This window comes from Homo sapiens, chromosome X (genome assembly GCF_000001405.40).
Source record: "Homo sapiens chromosome X, GRCh38.p14 Primary Assembly".
In the NCBI taxonomy this organism is placed as follows: Eukaryota; Metazoa; Chordata; class Mammalia; order Primates; family Hominidae; genus Homo; species Homo sapiens.
Genome location: NC_000023.11, coordinates 153,538,080 through 153,551,679, shown reverse-complemented (window position 1 = coordinate 153,551,679; position 13,600 = coordinate 153,538,080). Strand labels below are relative to the sequence as shown.

The following is a 13,600-nucleotide window of genomic DNA, read 5'->3' as shown; positions in this document are numbered from 1 at the left end:
CAGAGCTGCACGACCATCACCAGTCTCCAATTCCAGAAAATTTTCATCATCTCTAAGAAAATTTTCATCATCTCTAAGCAACAACAAGAAAATAGATCAACTGGACGTCATCACGATTTAAAACATTTGTGCACCTAAGGACACTATCAAGAGAGTGAAGACAGGCCACAGAATGGGACAGAATGTGTAGAAATCGCATAGCTGATAAGGATCTAGGATCCAGAATACAGAAAAAATGTTACAGCCCAACAATAAAAAGACAAACAACCCAACTCAGCAATGAGCAAAGGGCTAGGACAGACATTTCCCCAAGGAAGACAGGCAAATGGCCAGTCAGCACAGCAAAAGAGGCTCAGCGTTGTTAGTCATCAAGGAAACACAGATCAAAACCACCAGGAGATATTGCCTCACACCCACAAGGATGGCCCCCATCAGCATTGTCACACCAGAAAATAAGTGCTGTTGAAGATGGGGAGAAGGTGGAACCCTCCTATGTCGCTGGTGGGAATGTGAAACGGTGCTGCCCCTGTGGAAAACAGTTTCGTGGACACCACGACCCAGCCATTCCTCTCCTAGATGTCCACGCAAAAGAATTGAAAACATGGGTTCAAACAAAAACTTGTACGTGAATATTCACAGCAGCGTGACTCGTGACAGCCAAAAGGTGGAAACGACTCACGTGCTGGTAGACGTGCTGGTAGACAGATGAAGGGATGGATGGACCAACACAATGCTCTTTAGCATACAATGGATATTACTCAGCCTTAGAAAGAATGGAAGTTCGGGCTGGTGGCAGTGGCTCATTCCTGTAATCCTAGCACTTAGGGAGGCCGGGTGGGTGGATCGCTTGAGCCCAAGACTTCAAGACCACCCTGGGCAACATGAGGAGACCCCAGCTCTACAAAAAATTTGAAAATTCGCTGGGCGTGGTGGCATGCACATGTAATCCCAGCTACGGGGGACACTGACGTAGGAGGATGGCTTGAGGGAAAAAACAAAACAAAACAAAAAAAGAAAGGAAGGTCTAATATCTGAGGGAAACGGAAAAACTTTACACTAAGGAAAGAAGCCAGACACAAAAGGCCACACAGTGTATGAGTCCCTTGATAGGAAATGTCCAGACAGGCAAATCCATACAGACAGGAAGCACATGAGGCTGGGGAGGGGCGTGGGGAGGGCTGCTCATGGGCCTGGGGTTTCTTTCCGGGTTGATGGAGGTGTTTTGGAACTGGGTAGTGGTGACGGTTGCATGATATTGTGAACGTGCTTAATGCCATTCAACTGTACACTGTAAAGTGGTTGAAATGGTGAATTTTACGTTCGGCCTCTTTTACCACGACAATAGAATCAGAAACTCCGTGCGTACCCCGGCACCTCCCTGCTGCTCACTCACTTTTTCAAGAGGATCTCTGAGGCCCCCTTGCTGAAGAGGCGGAAGCCACCGTCGGGCATGCGGATGACTGTGCTCATGGACTTGCGGACCGAGTTGAAGGTGTACACTTTGTAAAGCTTGTCTTCCGGGATCTGCTCGCGCACGGGCTGGAAGTCCCGCTTCAGGTCCAAGACGAAGCCCAGCAGGGCGCACTCCGTCTTATTGCCCACCTGGCGTGGGAGGGCGCCTTCCTTCTCAGGAGGCTGCAAGATGACGAGGGCTAGCAGGCACTGGGGGCCTGAGACCACCCTCCATGCTGCCCCTGGAGCCCCAGCTCTGCCCCCTCGTGGTCACCACATTGTTAGGGTGTGGGCGGCAGGGAGCAGAGGAAGGTCGGCCTTAGCTACAGGCAGTTTCCCAGCCAGAGCCACCTGTGAGGCCAGGGATGGGCAAAAGTTCTCAAGGGGGGGCCTAATGAGCACCTTGCAACAGCTCACCTGGCACCCTGGCCAGGACCCTCCCCTGCTCCTGCCCCCGGCCCTGCCCGCCCGCTCCTGCCCCAGCTCACTAGTATTTTGGTGGTATAGGCACTGTTGATGGAGATGGCATGGACCAGGAGGTCGAGGATCTTAGGGGTCAGGGCGCTGGGGGCCGGAATCTCTTTGTAGTGGGTGTCTCCTAGGTAGGACTGGACCACGGTCATACGGTTGGTGGTGAGCGTGCCCGTCTTGTCGGAGCAGATGGCTGTGGCGTTGCCCATGGTCTCGCAGGCATCCAGGTGGCGCACCAGGTTGTTGTCTTTCATCATTTTCTGCAAAGGGCGAGGGTGTGGGCATTTGGCCCAGGTGCTTGTTGGGGTGGAGGAGTGAGAGATGTCAACACAAACATCGCGTGACTCTGTTCTGCTCAGCTAGCTCCACGTGTGGCACTAAGCCCACTGGGCACCTGGTCAGCCCTGAGCCAATAGCGAGGCTGTAAGGCATCAGCAACCTCATCCAATGGTGGGGGCGGGATGCGCACCCGGGACCTCCCCTGCCCGAGCCCCCTCTCAGTTACCCACCAGCCCTGCAGCTCTCCCACCCCACCACCCCACCACCCCACCACCCCACACCTGGCTCCCCCCACCTCCTCCCACTGCCTCCCAGTGTCCCGGGCCCTCTGCTGATTCTCCGCTTCCCCGCTGCCTCCCAGCCCCTCCGTCCTACTGCCCACATTGTGCAGATGCTGAACCCCTGGGTATCTCACCGCCTGCCTGCTTTCTGGCCCATCTCATGCCGAGGGACCTGAGCTGACAGATCAGCAAAGCTGCCCCCTGGGTCCCTGCTCGGCACCTCCTCTCCTCCCTTGAGCTATCCCAAACGTCCCCAGTTTATACTGCCACCAAGGCGCCCAATGACTTCTTACCCCAGTTTCCGAGTCTGTAAACAGTATCAACTGTAAGTTTTATGATTACCTTGACAGAGTAAGCTAAGGAGATGGTGACAGCAAGAGGCAGGCCCTCTGGGACAGCCACGACCAGCACAGTGACACCAATGATGAAGAACTTCACGAAGTATTGTACATAGACCGGCGTGCACTCTGCCAGCCATGTCCGGCCTTCCACGACAAACGTCTCAATCACAAAGTAGAGGACCAGGATGATGACGGTGATGGCAGACATCACCAGCCCTGCCACAGAGCGGGGAGGAGACGAAAGGGGTTGCCACGGGTGAGGGAAGGAGGGGGACAGGAAGAGGGAAGAAGAGGTATGGACACGGTCTCGGAGGCATTTGTGAAGGCCTTGTAGATTTGCCTTGCGTTTCAGGATAAACAGCCCAGGTTTGGCTCAGCAGGTGAGCTGGGGCCTGTTTGCAAGGGGGCTCTGTGTGGCCTCTTCTGGAGTGCTGCTGGGGTTGGGGAGTGGACTTTGTGGTCTGATGGCAGGAGAAGCACCGCTGGGGAGGACTAGCAAGAGTCAATCCCCCACTGCACCCCAGAAGTTGGGGTACCAGCCCTGCATGCCCCCAGCTGCCTTTTGAGGGTGCCAGGGGCAGAGCCTGGAGCCTTGGGTAGGGGCACCTCATGGGCAGTGGCTCAGTGTGTGACCCGGGCTTTCGTCGAGGGTTTGGGACTTCTGCTCACTAGGGAAGGGCTGCGCCAGGCCCTGATGGCCACTGCCGGCCTGGCCTGTGCCCTTGCCTGCCTGGCCCACACATCACCTGCCACATCCCTTCCCACCTGCTCTACACAGCCTGGGCTCATCTCCAGGAGCCCAGCATCCTCCACGCCCAGTCAATGGCCTGGGCCCACCACCTCCTGCTGTCCCTACCTGCTTTCCCGATCTGCACGGCTAGCTTTGTGAGCTTCCCCTGAAGGACAGACTTCTCCTTTTTGGGTGCGTTGGCTTTCTTCTTCTCCCGCTCCTCCATCTCCCCACCCTCCGCGCTCTTCAGGGGCTGCATCTCCATGGCCACTGCACCATCCTGCTTCTTAGCTGCACACAGAGGAACCCCATGGCCAAGGTCAGTGCCTGGCTGGGGAGAAGGCGTTATAAGGGGCTTTTGTGGGGGAAAGACATGCCACACCATAGAGAGGAGACGGGATTCAGTGGAGCTCTCCTATTTCCAAGTCTATCAGCTTCCCTTCTCTCGCCTCCTAAGCCCAGGCCCTCTTGGGGTGGGTGGGGTGGCTCCAGCACTGTTCTAGGTGGGACAGAGATGGTTCTCTCGGGAGAAGGGAGGACAGACACAGCACAAGGCTTTTGGGCACACAGACAGGGTGACTGGTCCTGGAATGCCCCAAATAATACCTGAGAGCAGAGGCCTGTGGCCCGAGGAATCTTCCAGAACCCTGAGCTGACTCATCTGCTTACTGGTGTCCGAGCCACCTCCTACCTCCCTTAGGGAGGCCCAGAAGCCCCATGCACTCTCCTCCCACCAGCCAGCCCTGCGCCTGTTCGGGCTCCATCTGTCCCTCCAGCACCCTCCCTGCCTCTCCCCTGGAGCAGACGGCTCCTCTCCCTTCTTCCCTGGTGGGTCCTGTGCTCCTCATCCTTGCTGCCCTCGACATGGTGGTGGTGTGTCCCCCACTCCGGCTCCCTCCTCTCCCCACTCCTCTGCTTCTGTCACTTCCTCATCTCCCTCCCTGCCAAGCTCTGGCCGCACCCACTCCACGGCCCAGAGTAATCCTGGCCACCCCACCTCCCTCTTCTGCCCCGGGACCGACGCAGCGACCTGGGGAGAGCAGACTCGTCTTTCTCCCTCACTACTCTGGTCCCCGATCCACTGGGGCTCTTGGCACTACCGCCATCACCTCTGCCTCCTCCTGCTCCTCCTCACTTGCCAGCCCAAGGCCATTCGCCACGGCTCCTCTTCCCAGTGGCGTCAGGACACAATTGCCCCACCCAGCTGGGCCCCTCCAGCTTTGTGCCCCACCTGCTGCCACCTCCTCAACCCAGGGCTGCAGCCATCGGGCTGTCCCCCCACTGCCCTCCCAAACCCAGCTCCGCACAGGGCGTTGCCTGGGTCATCTCTGCCTGTGACCTTCCTGAGGGTCAGGACCTGCCTTGTTCCCCATGGACTCCAGCACCTAGAGCTGGCTGCTGCATTGGCCGACATCTCCTGTCCTCCGTGGGCCACGGCTGGCCTCCTCCCCGCTCCTCCCACCCCTTCTCCTGCTTCCTGCGTCTCACAGCCAGGCTCATGCTGGCCCCAGGGTGTCGGCACCTGCCAGCTGTCCGGGGCTGAGAGGAGAGCCGGGCCTCTGGCCCTCAGCCGACCACTCTGTCTCCCAGGTCCTCAGGCTTGGCTGAAAGGAAGCTGGCCTGGGAAACACACTGACTGGGACCCAGAGCTTCAGGTGAGTCAGCCCTTCTGGGCCTCAGTTTTCTCATCTGGCCAGAGTGGACTCGGGGCGCCCACTCACAGGTGATCCTTATGCCCATGCTGGGCTAAGGTCTCCTCTAGGTGGCTGGGCTGAGCTGCCAGCAGTGTCTGTGGCCAGGATGCCCTGAGCAGCCCCAGGGGTGTGCTCTCTCCTCCCTCTGCACTGGGACGGGACTGTGCAGCCAGCCCACTCACCTGGTCTCCAAGTGTTGCTCCTGCCACCGAGGCAGGTGAACCTCCCCCAACACTGTGCCCTCCACCAGCCCCACCCCCAGGGCTCCAAGCTTGTTGTGCCCAAGCAGCGGCGCCCGTTACCTTTGGTCTGGCTACTCTCCATGGCCCCATCCTGCTGCTTGCCTACAATGGAAGAGGGATGACAGACACGAAGGCTTGAGGACACCAGCCTGGGGGCCGCGTGGCAGAGGGGGTGGGGAGGAGGGGCCTGATTGCTGGTGGCCTTCTTCATGCCCCGTCCTCTCCAGGCTCACCCCGTCACCACCTCCCAGCACACGGTCACCATGAACACTGGCATTCCTGAGCCAGACCTCTGCCCAGGGCTCCCCTTCGGCCTTAAGCTCAGCCCTACAGTGAACCCCTAAAGCCAGCCTTGGAAGGGCCCTGGGTCACACATGGCTGGCAGTGGGAGGTTCCCGGAAGCTGGAACCTCCCCAAGTCGGGACGTCTGCTCCCTGCAAACCAGCTCAAGGGGTTCACTTAGATGGCTCCTAACCCCTGGAAGCCAGGCAGACAGCACCCAGCTGCCCTTGCCTAGGGATTGGTTTTCCCTGCAGTCACGTCCAGCAGTTAGCTCAGTGTGTGTGTGTTTGAGCACTGCAACCTCCACCTCCCAGGTTTAAGCGATCCTCCTGCCTCAGCCTCCCAAGTAGCTGGGACTACAGGTGTACACCACCACGCCCAGTTAATTTTTGTACTTTTAATAGAGACGGGGTTTCGCCATGTTGGCCAGGCTGGTCTCCAACTCCTGACCTCAAGTGATTCACCTGCCTTGACCTCTCAAAGTGTTGGGATTACAGGCATGAGCCACTGTGCCTGGCCCCAGTGTGTGTTTTAAAGGGACAAAGGAATGAGACGCTAGGACTCTGCGGGGCGCTTTCAGGTCATTGGTCAACCCAGGGCTGCAGCACAGGAGTGCCAGCCTGAGCCCCGGCACACAGCAGCCCTGCAAGGCCAGGCTGGGCCCCAAGTGGCCCTATCCAGGGGCTCAGGTGGTGGGCACAGTCACCCCTTCTGAGAGCTGCAGTTAGAGGAGCTTCCTGGGGGCCACATCTGCACTCCCAGGCAGTTGGGGTTGGGATCCGGGGTCCCCAGGGAGCAGGGAGGGCCCCCCCCCCGACCCTACTCAGCCAGGGGTGGGGCATTGATCAGGCCCTCTCCGCCCAGGGTTCCTGTGGGCACAGAGGGCCCTTCTTGCAGGGAGGGGAGACCCCCACGGACACAAGATGGCAGTGCGATGACCGCACAGCACAGCAGGGGAGATGGCAGAGCCTTGGGGCCGTGGGGGCCCGAAGGAAGCATGGACTCTGGACCCAGCCTGCACACAGGCCCTGGGAGGCCTCTGGAGGAGGGAGGCAGGGGGAAGTCTGGGATGAGCATTGCTGGAAGAGGAGGGCTGGGCCCCGCCAGAAGAGACAGGAGTGGGGGGAAGGTGAGGAGGAGAAGCACACTTGGAGAAAGGTGCATAGGAGTCAAGGTCAAGAGACAAGAAATAGGGGGTTGGGTGCAGGTAGAAGGCAAGTATCCTAAGCGTGTACCTGGCAGGCTGCGCCAAACAATGGGGATGGGGCGGGAGAGACGGGGAGGGCGAGCAGGGAGCCCCCTGGTCTTGCTGGTACCCTCTACCCAGCTGGCCAGCTGCTGCTCTCCCTCCAGGGCCCCCTCAGGGTTCTCTTCCTCCAGGAAGCCCTCTAGCTCTGACTCCTAAGTAGGACAGCCTGAGGGTGCTGGAGAGGAGGGCCAGGTGGGGCCTGGGAGGGGCTGAATGGTCTTGTCAATTTAAAAAAGAAAGGAGAGGCCTGGAACAGTTAGGAAGGACACACTCATTTAAGGTACAGAGAAGGTGAGCAGCCTGAGAAGGGCGGCTGGAGACTCCAGAGGAGCGTGGGTTCCCGTGGACGATGGGAGAGGGCCATTGTGTGCAAGACATGAGGAGGCAGCCCAGGCAGGGGCAGCTGGGCTTCCCAGGACAGAGGCCTAGGGACTCCAGCCCAGCCCAGACGAGGCCCAGGGCTGCCCATCTGCCTGCGCACCCCCAGGGCACTCACTGGGGTGAGACACTGCACTGAGCCCTACAGGACTTGGTGCCACAAAGAAGAGCCGGTGCAGGGAGACACAGGCCCAGGCTGCCAGGAGGCAGGGCTCGTCGAAGCTTCTAGGCCACAGAGGGTCATCCAGCTACTCCTTTGCTGCCTCCAGGGAGCTTTGGGCTCAGGGCTGACCTTTTCCCCGGGCCCTGACTGCCCGCCCCACGCCCCCACGCCCCCACACCCCGCGCACTGGCCCCAGGGCCCTGGCTGGAGGTCACTGGCAGGAAGCAGAGCTTTCCCATGCGGGTGTGGCTCCCTACCATGTTTTGGCTGCAGGAGAGGCCAGAAGGCAAGTCCAGGCCAGAGCAAGGCTGCCCAGCCAGAAGGGGCTGTGGCAGCCATTCAATCTTGTCCATCAGGGCCTCCCTGAATAGTACTCAGGTTAGAAGGTCTGAGGACTCCGCCCGCTGCAGGGCCTGATGGTGGCAGCTCCAGCCACAGGACGAGGAATGGGCCCTCCTGGCTCGGGCTTGCCTAGCTTTGTAAGCCCCAGGGCAGGGCCACCACCCACAGTTGGGCTGCCCGGCCCTCACCTGTCCCAGCCTCCTCTGACCTCTGACCCCCACCTCCCTGGCTGCCTCCCACGCTGGCCTGGGATCCTCGGCACCTTACTGGGCACGGGCCCTGAGGGTAAGCATGAGGCTCCCCGTAGCTCCTGTCCCTCTAACGCCATTCCTGTCCAGGTAGGTATGGGATCCCGGAGCCTTTGGGGATGGTGGTCTCAGGGAAACTCCCCGTCCACGGCACTGGAGGGGCCCTTGGCCTGCCGGCTCTCAGGGGGGATATCCTCAGAAGAGGAGTCTCCACGGAGAATCAAAAGAGAGGGCCCGGCCTCCCACCCACTTGGGCTGGCTCTCCCTGAGCCCCCAGTGGCACCGGCCCGCAAAGAAAGAATGGGCAGCGTGGAAGGAGCCGCCACCAGCACCAGGGACTGGCGGCACTGCTGCGCTACCTTTCTTATCTTTCTTCTCTTCCTCCTCTCCGCCAGCTCCAAGCAGCGTGAAGATGATGCCTGTCTGGGAATTCACGCCAACGGCGGTCACCACCATTCTTCCAGAACCTTCCATGACATGAGTGCCTGGAACAGCAACACAGAGACTGAGACAGGAATTTGTATCACCCAGTGGGAGACACATTCAGCGCCCACAACCTGTCTCCCAGGGTCTCCCGGAAGCAGGGACGCGGTGTCCACCTTAAAACTAGGCTGAAGCCTCCTCCCTGGCTTGGAGGAGACCCCGAGGCCCACAGGGCCCACCTAGGGCCTCCAGCCTTCCTGTCCCGTTTCACACTACGTTTCCAACTGGGATAAACACCGGACTATGCTGAAACCTTCTGGAAAGGGAACACTACCCCCACTGGATATTGTCGAGGGTCTGGATTGAGAGAAGCACAGCGCTGTGCTGGCCCCTGCAAGCCTCTCCGCTTGGGGCTTCCCATTCAGGACACAAAGCACTCTCCCGGGCCTGGAGGGCCAGCTTCCTCGCCCTGTGGCTGGAGCTGCCACCATCAGGCCTCAAGACGGGCGGAGTCTTCAGATTCCCAACCTGAAGGTTATGCTGGAAGGCCCTGGTGGAGGTGGAGGCTGAGCCCAGCAGGCAGCCTGGACAGGATGCTGGGCCACACGGCTGCTGACGCCCCTTGGTGCCAGGCTGGCCCGGAGGGTGGCCCTCACCTGAGAGCAGCATGGGATCTTTGTCAGCTGACTTGCGCACGTGGTCAGACTCGCCCGTCAGGGAGCTCTCGTCGATCTTGAGGTCATTGGCCTGGATGAGCACGCCGTCGGCTGGCAGCAGGTCGCCTAGAGCACCGGGAAGCAGAGGCCTTTCTCCCCACCGCCTCCTCCCGGCTGCCCCAGGGGAGGTCCCGTCAGGTGCCATGGGCCGCCTGGGAAAGGGACTCAGGAGCCCTCCTCCTTCTGGGGAACGAGGACATTTGCATCCTTTGTAGGGGGGAAAGCCCGCCGTGGAGGCTGTGGGGACAGTTGATTCTTCGGGGGCCTGCTGTGTCTGAAACCACTCTGCCCTGCCCCGTGTTCCCCCACCTCCCCCACCCCCGCCACCTCCCGCCTCCTAAGGCAGGTGACGACACGCAGGCCACCGGGGAGAACCTGTGCTGGGGGTCTCCTCTGGCTCACCCTCCCCAGAAGCAGGAGCCGAGCTTCCTTGACAGGGTGGGTGAAGACCAGGGCACTCACCGTACTTGACCTGGGCAATGTCCCCCACCACCAGCGCAGCCACGGGGACCTGGAGGAGCTGCCCGTTCCGGATGACCGTGAACTTCTGCTCCTGCTCAATTCGGCTCTGCAGGCCTCGGAACTGCTTCTCCTTGCTCCAGTCATTGAAGGCCGTGACCAGCACCACACAGATGACGGACAGCAGGATGGCAGCCCCCTCGATCCAGCCAGCTTCGGCCTCGCCCTCATCTTCTGCGCCTCCCGACACATTCCCACAGGCTGTGCGGAGGACAGAAGGGAAGCAGTGGAGGAGACATCACCATCCTGTGACCGTCCCTCATCTCAAGCCCCATTCCTCTTCCTCCTTCCAGCCCAGGCCCCCGGGCCTTACCTTCACTCTCCTCTCCTGGCGGCGCATAGAACGAGAGGCCCAGAGAGACGATGGCAGCCACCTCCAGGATGATGAGGGTCACGTCCTGCAGGGCCTCCCACACCAGCTGCAGGAAGGTCTTGGGTTGCTTTGGGGGGATGAAGTTCTGCCCGTAGATCTGCCTGCGCTTCTCCAGGTCATTGGTGTTGTCCGCCAGGCCTGCATGGTGCCCCGGAAGCACAGAAGGGGAGGATGGGATGGGACGGGTCGGCCTTGTGTGTCCCAGGCCTCCTATGTGGCCCTGACTGACTGCTCCTGGGGTGGCAGCAGCCCTCTGGGGCCGTCTGGCCAGCGCCTGGCTCTCCCTCTAGACAGGAGCCTTTCTGCAGACTGCTGGGGGTGTGCACGTGGGAGTGAGCATGCGGCTCTCTGGCTGCTGTCATGGGGAGTCCCTAGCCATCCTCCTCCTGACACACAGATGACAAAACAGGCCAGGAGGCTCCTGGACTCCAGCGGGTCCCAGGTCCCTGTGCTTTCCTGGCCACCTCCACACTACCGCTGAGGGGGCACTGGAAGGCAGGGGACAGGACCCAACAAGGGGGCACAGAGGGGACCCAGCAGGGTATGTCCAGGTCAACAAGGGTTGCTAGGAGACAGGACAGAAGAGTATAGCCAATGGTCCCCTGGGGAGGAGAGCGAGTGTCCAGGGGACTTTAGTGGAGACATGGGGAGGGCCACCAATCAGGGGAGGCTGGGATGGCACCAGATGCCAAAGACTAGGCCAGGGCTCTGTGCCTGTCAGGAAACACCTCTCTAGCTCCCAGCCTATGAATTCCCTGAGCAGGCTTGTCACCAACACCCCCCTCCCCAGCTCTGTAAGATGGGGCCAGCCGGTCCCAAAGACTGGCAGTGTCACACAGCCCAACCTGTGGGGGCAGGGACAGCCTGCAAAGAGGGTGGGCAGGGCCCGAGGGATTGGGGCATGAGCACGGCCAGTGCCGAGGAATCAGCAGTCTCCAGGGTGCCTGTGGCTGCTGGCAACAGGGAGCGGAGGCTTACTTTCCAGAAGTTTCTCGGGGAAGAAGCAGTGGGGAGGGAGCATGAGAGCTAATGGGAGATGCAAGTTCTTGGGTCCAGAGACCCAAAGAAGAAGAACGGTGTCACGCGAGGAGAGAGAGAGGCACGGGAATGGGAGTGGGTTCCTGGTGGGGAACAGGCGGGGAGAAGCCAAACCGGAGTCACGGTGCTGAGGGAGGGGACTGGGAAGTCTTCAAGCCTTTTCTGGGCTGCATGGCCTCGCAGGGGTCGGGGAGACACTGCCCACCCTGGGCTGCTCATCAGCTGCTCTCTGCAGGGTGCAGACAAGGCCACTGAGGCCGGAGGTGGAGAGGGCCCTGTAACCATGAGTCAGAGCTCTGGCCTGTGGCCCAGGTCAGGACAGAACCTACGCTGCCCGACAGGACCCGGTGAGCACAGGGCCCTCAGGACCCAGCAGCCTTGGTTCTAATGCAACTCCAGCACCAACTTTGATCCCTCAGCCAGGGCTCACAGCTTGTCTACATGGCGACTTGAATGACACCCAAAGCCACTCAGAAGCCCCCAAATTGGCTTTGCCTTCACAATCAGAGCCACCTGTCCCTATCCAATTCTGTCACTTGTCATCCTTGAGGACGCTTACTTCTCAGTCTTCCTTGGCCTGAAGGTACTGGAAGCTTACGTGCGTGACTGGCATCCGGGCCTGGACACCCACTCAGCCACCTTCTACCGGGGCAGGCATGTGGGATGACACCCTCCTCTGGCCCCACCCTTGGCCCCAGGATTCTCAGCCCCGGCTGATCCCGAGGAGCCCTCCCGGGCGCTCACCCGGCGCCCAGTGCTGTCGCGGCCGTGACCAGACCCACACTGACACCTGGTGGACAGACAGCAGCTTGCAGCTCCCAGCCCTGGGCAGCTGGGCTCACGCCTGCCATCTGCTGCAGGGACGGGATGACCAGAGAGCCCAGCCCCAGCCCATGGGGCACTCACAGTGGGTCTGGGAAGGCACACAAGACCCTCCAGATGACTGGAGAACAGGCGCATGCTAACCTTGGGGCTTCTGAGGAGGGGCAGGGGTAGCCCTGGCCGCAGTGGAACAGAAGCTGCCGCCCGCACAACCGTGGCTCATTCACCCCAGCTAGGCGACGGCCACATGGCGTCCTCCCCACCCAGAAGAGCCGCAGCTGTCCGTGCCTCTCTGCCCCTGGCTCAGGTTTCTTCAGGAGCCAAAGGCCTCTTGCTGAGGCCCGAGCCTGCCCCAATCGGGAGCCTGGGGTTAACGCACGACCTCAGCTCCTGGGTGGTGGGGAGGGGGCTGGGGACCAGGGACCCAACTGAGGGGTGTGCACCTCGCTCTGGACTGGGACTGTCTCCTGGAATTACAGGAGCTAAGCCAGGTGGGGACAGTACTAGGGAGTACAAGACCCCCCAAGTGACTTAAGAAGAAGCACGTGCTAACCGTGGGGCTTCTGCGGAGGGAGAGGAGCAGGGGAGGGCTCCCCAGACACCTGGGGTCTCCACTGCCCTTAGCCTGGAGCCTCCATGCGAGTCTCTCTCCTGCCTGCCCCTCCTCACATGCCCAGTTTGTCCCTGAGAGCAGCCGGGACCCCTGGCCCATTCCCCAGGAGCTCCCTCGCCCTCGCCAGCCTCTCCCTTGGCCTTGACCTGCCCTTGCAGCTGTAGCCTTGCTCGTTTCTCCTTAGCCTTCCTGTGGGCTCGGGGTCCCGACGGCTGCCCCACTGCAGCACCCATTGACGGGGAGGAGGAACACAGCTGCGGCCCCTCTGGCTCTGAGCACATGCTTCCCCAGCAGGCCCGAGGGCAGTCCAGGTCCAGGGCATGGGGGCAGGGGCTGGCCGGTTGGCATGGACACAGATGGGCGGCCTGCCCGGAGCAGAGGCCAGATGCCATCAGAATTGGATTAGGAGCATCTCGTGTCGGCTCCCAGCGAATCCGCCCCCTCCTTTCCAGAACTGCCTGTGGAGCCCAGAGGGGCACTGGGCGGGGCCAGGTTCCCGGGCGAACCCACCTCTGAGTTCAGCCTGAGACCCAGGTTTCCTGACAACAGCAGCGCGGTTTCCAGGATGGGTTCTGGAATCCTCTTGGAGTGCTCCCAAGACAGGGAGGGCAGTGGATTGATGAGTGTACCGCCAGAAGATAAAGTCCCCTTCCCGCAATGCACTATGCGCCATAAAGCACCTGCCCCACGGGGGAGTGCCTGCCTCCTGGGCAGCCCCACGTCTGCCCACCTTGTCAGGGGATTGGCATGGGGCTTGGGGCACAACAAAGCCAGCTGCCCCCGTGGCTCAGGCCCTTGTGTCTGAGGAGGACTGAGGGGCAGGCAGGTCTGAGCACCAGGGTCCGGGTGCACGGCCGGGCTAGGGGATGCGGGGAGCGAGTCACCCGCTCCTGGCACCCAGACAGCTCAAGCCCGACAGCTCCAGCCCGAGGACCTTGAGGGTT

The 13,600-nt window shown here is 60.9% G+C and overlaps 1 protein-coding gene across 13 annotated transcripts in view, besides 1 other annotated feature; it reads right to left on the bottom strand.

Moving 5' to 3' along the window:
- ATP2B3 (ATPase plasma membrane Ca2+ transporting 3) overlaps window positions 1-13,600 on the bottom strand; it is a 65,288-nt gene that overhangs the window by 31,250 nt on the left and 20,438 nt on the right. For 7 of the 13 annotated variants that reach the window (NM_021949.4, XM_005274689.4, NM_001001344.3 and 4 more), the window contains 9 exons: window positions 10,124-10,321; window positions 9,754-10,011; window positions 9,232-9,357; window positions 8,512-8,637; window positions 5,551-5,592; window positions 3,681-3,845; window positions 2,826-3,040; window positions 1,941-2,183; window positions 1,394-1,635 (listed from right to left, as the gene is read on the bottom strand). In NM_021949.4, the coding sequence (NP_068768.2) occupies window positions 1,394-1,635; window positions 1,941-2,183; window positions 2,826-3,040; window positions 3,681-3,845; window positions 5,551-5,592; window positions 8,512-8,637; window positions 9,232-9,357; window positions 9,754-10,011; window positions 10,124-10,321 (1,615 nt within the window). Of the gene's footprint in view, window positions 1-1,393; window positions 1,636-1,940; window positions 2,184-2,825; window positions 3,041-3,680; window positions 3,882-5,550; window positions 5,593-8,511; window positions 8,638-9,231; window positions 9,358-9,753; window positions 10,012-10,123; window positions 10,322-13,600 lie in introns of all 13 variants that reach the window. The other 6 variants (XM_024452386.2, XM_005274691.4, NM_001410708.1 and 3 more) reach the window with 2 other exon arrangements.
- Window positions 6,956-7,808: an enhancer, noted in NCBI's record as "H3K4me1 hESC enhancer chrX:152809330-152810182 (GRCh37/hg19 assembly coordinates)". NCBI's record gives its function as "activates a minimal SCP1, AML or CMV promoter by ChIP-STARR-seq in naive H9 embryonic stem cells {active_cell/tissue: H9 hESC(naive)}" and the evidence as "EXISTENCE:reporter gene assay evidence [ECO:0000049][PMID:30033119]".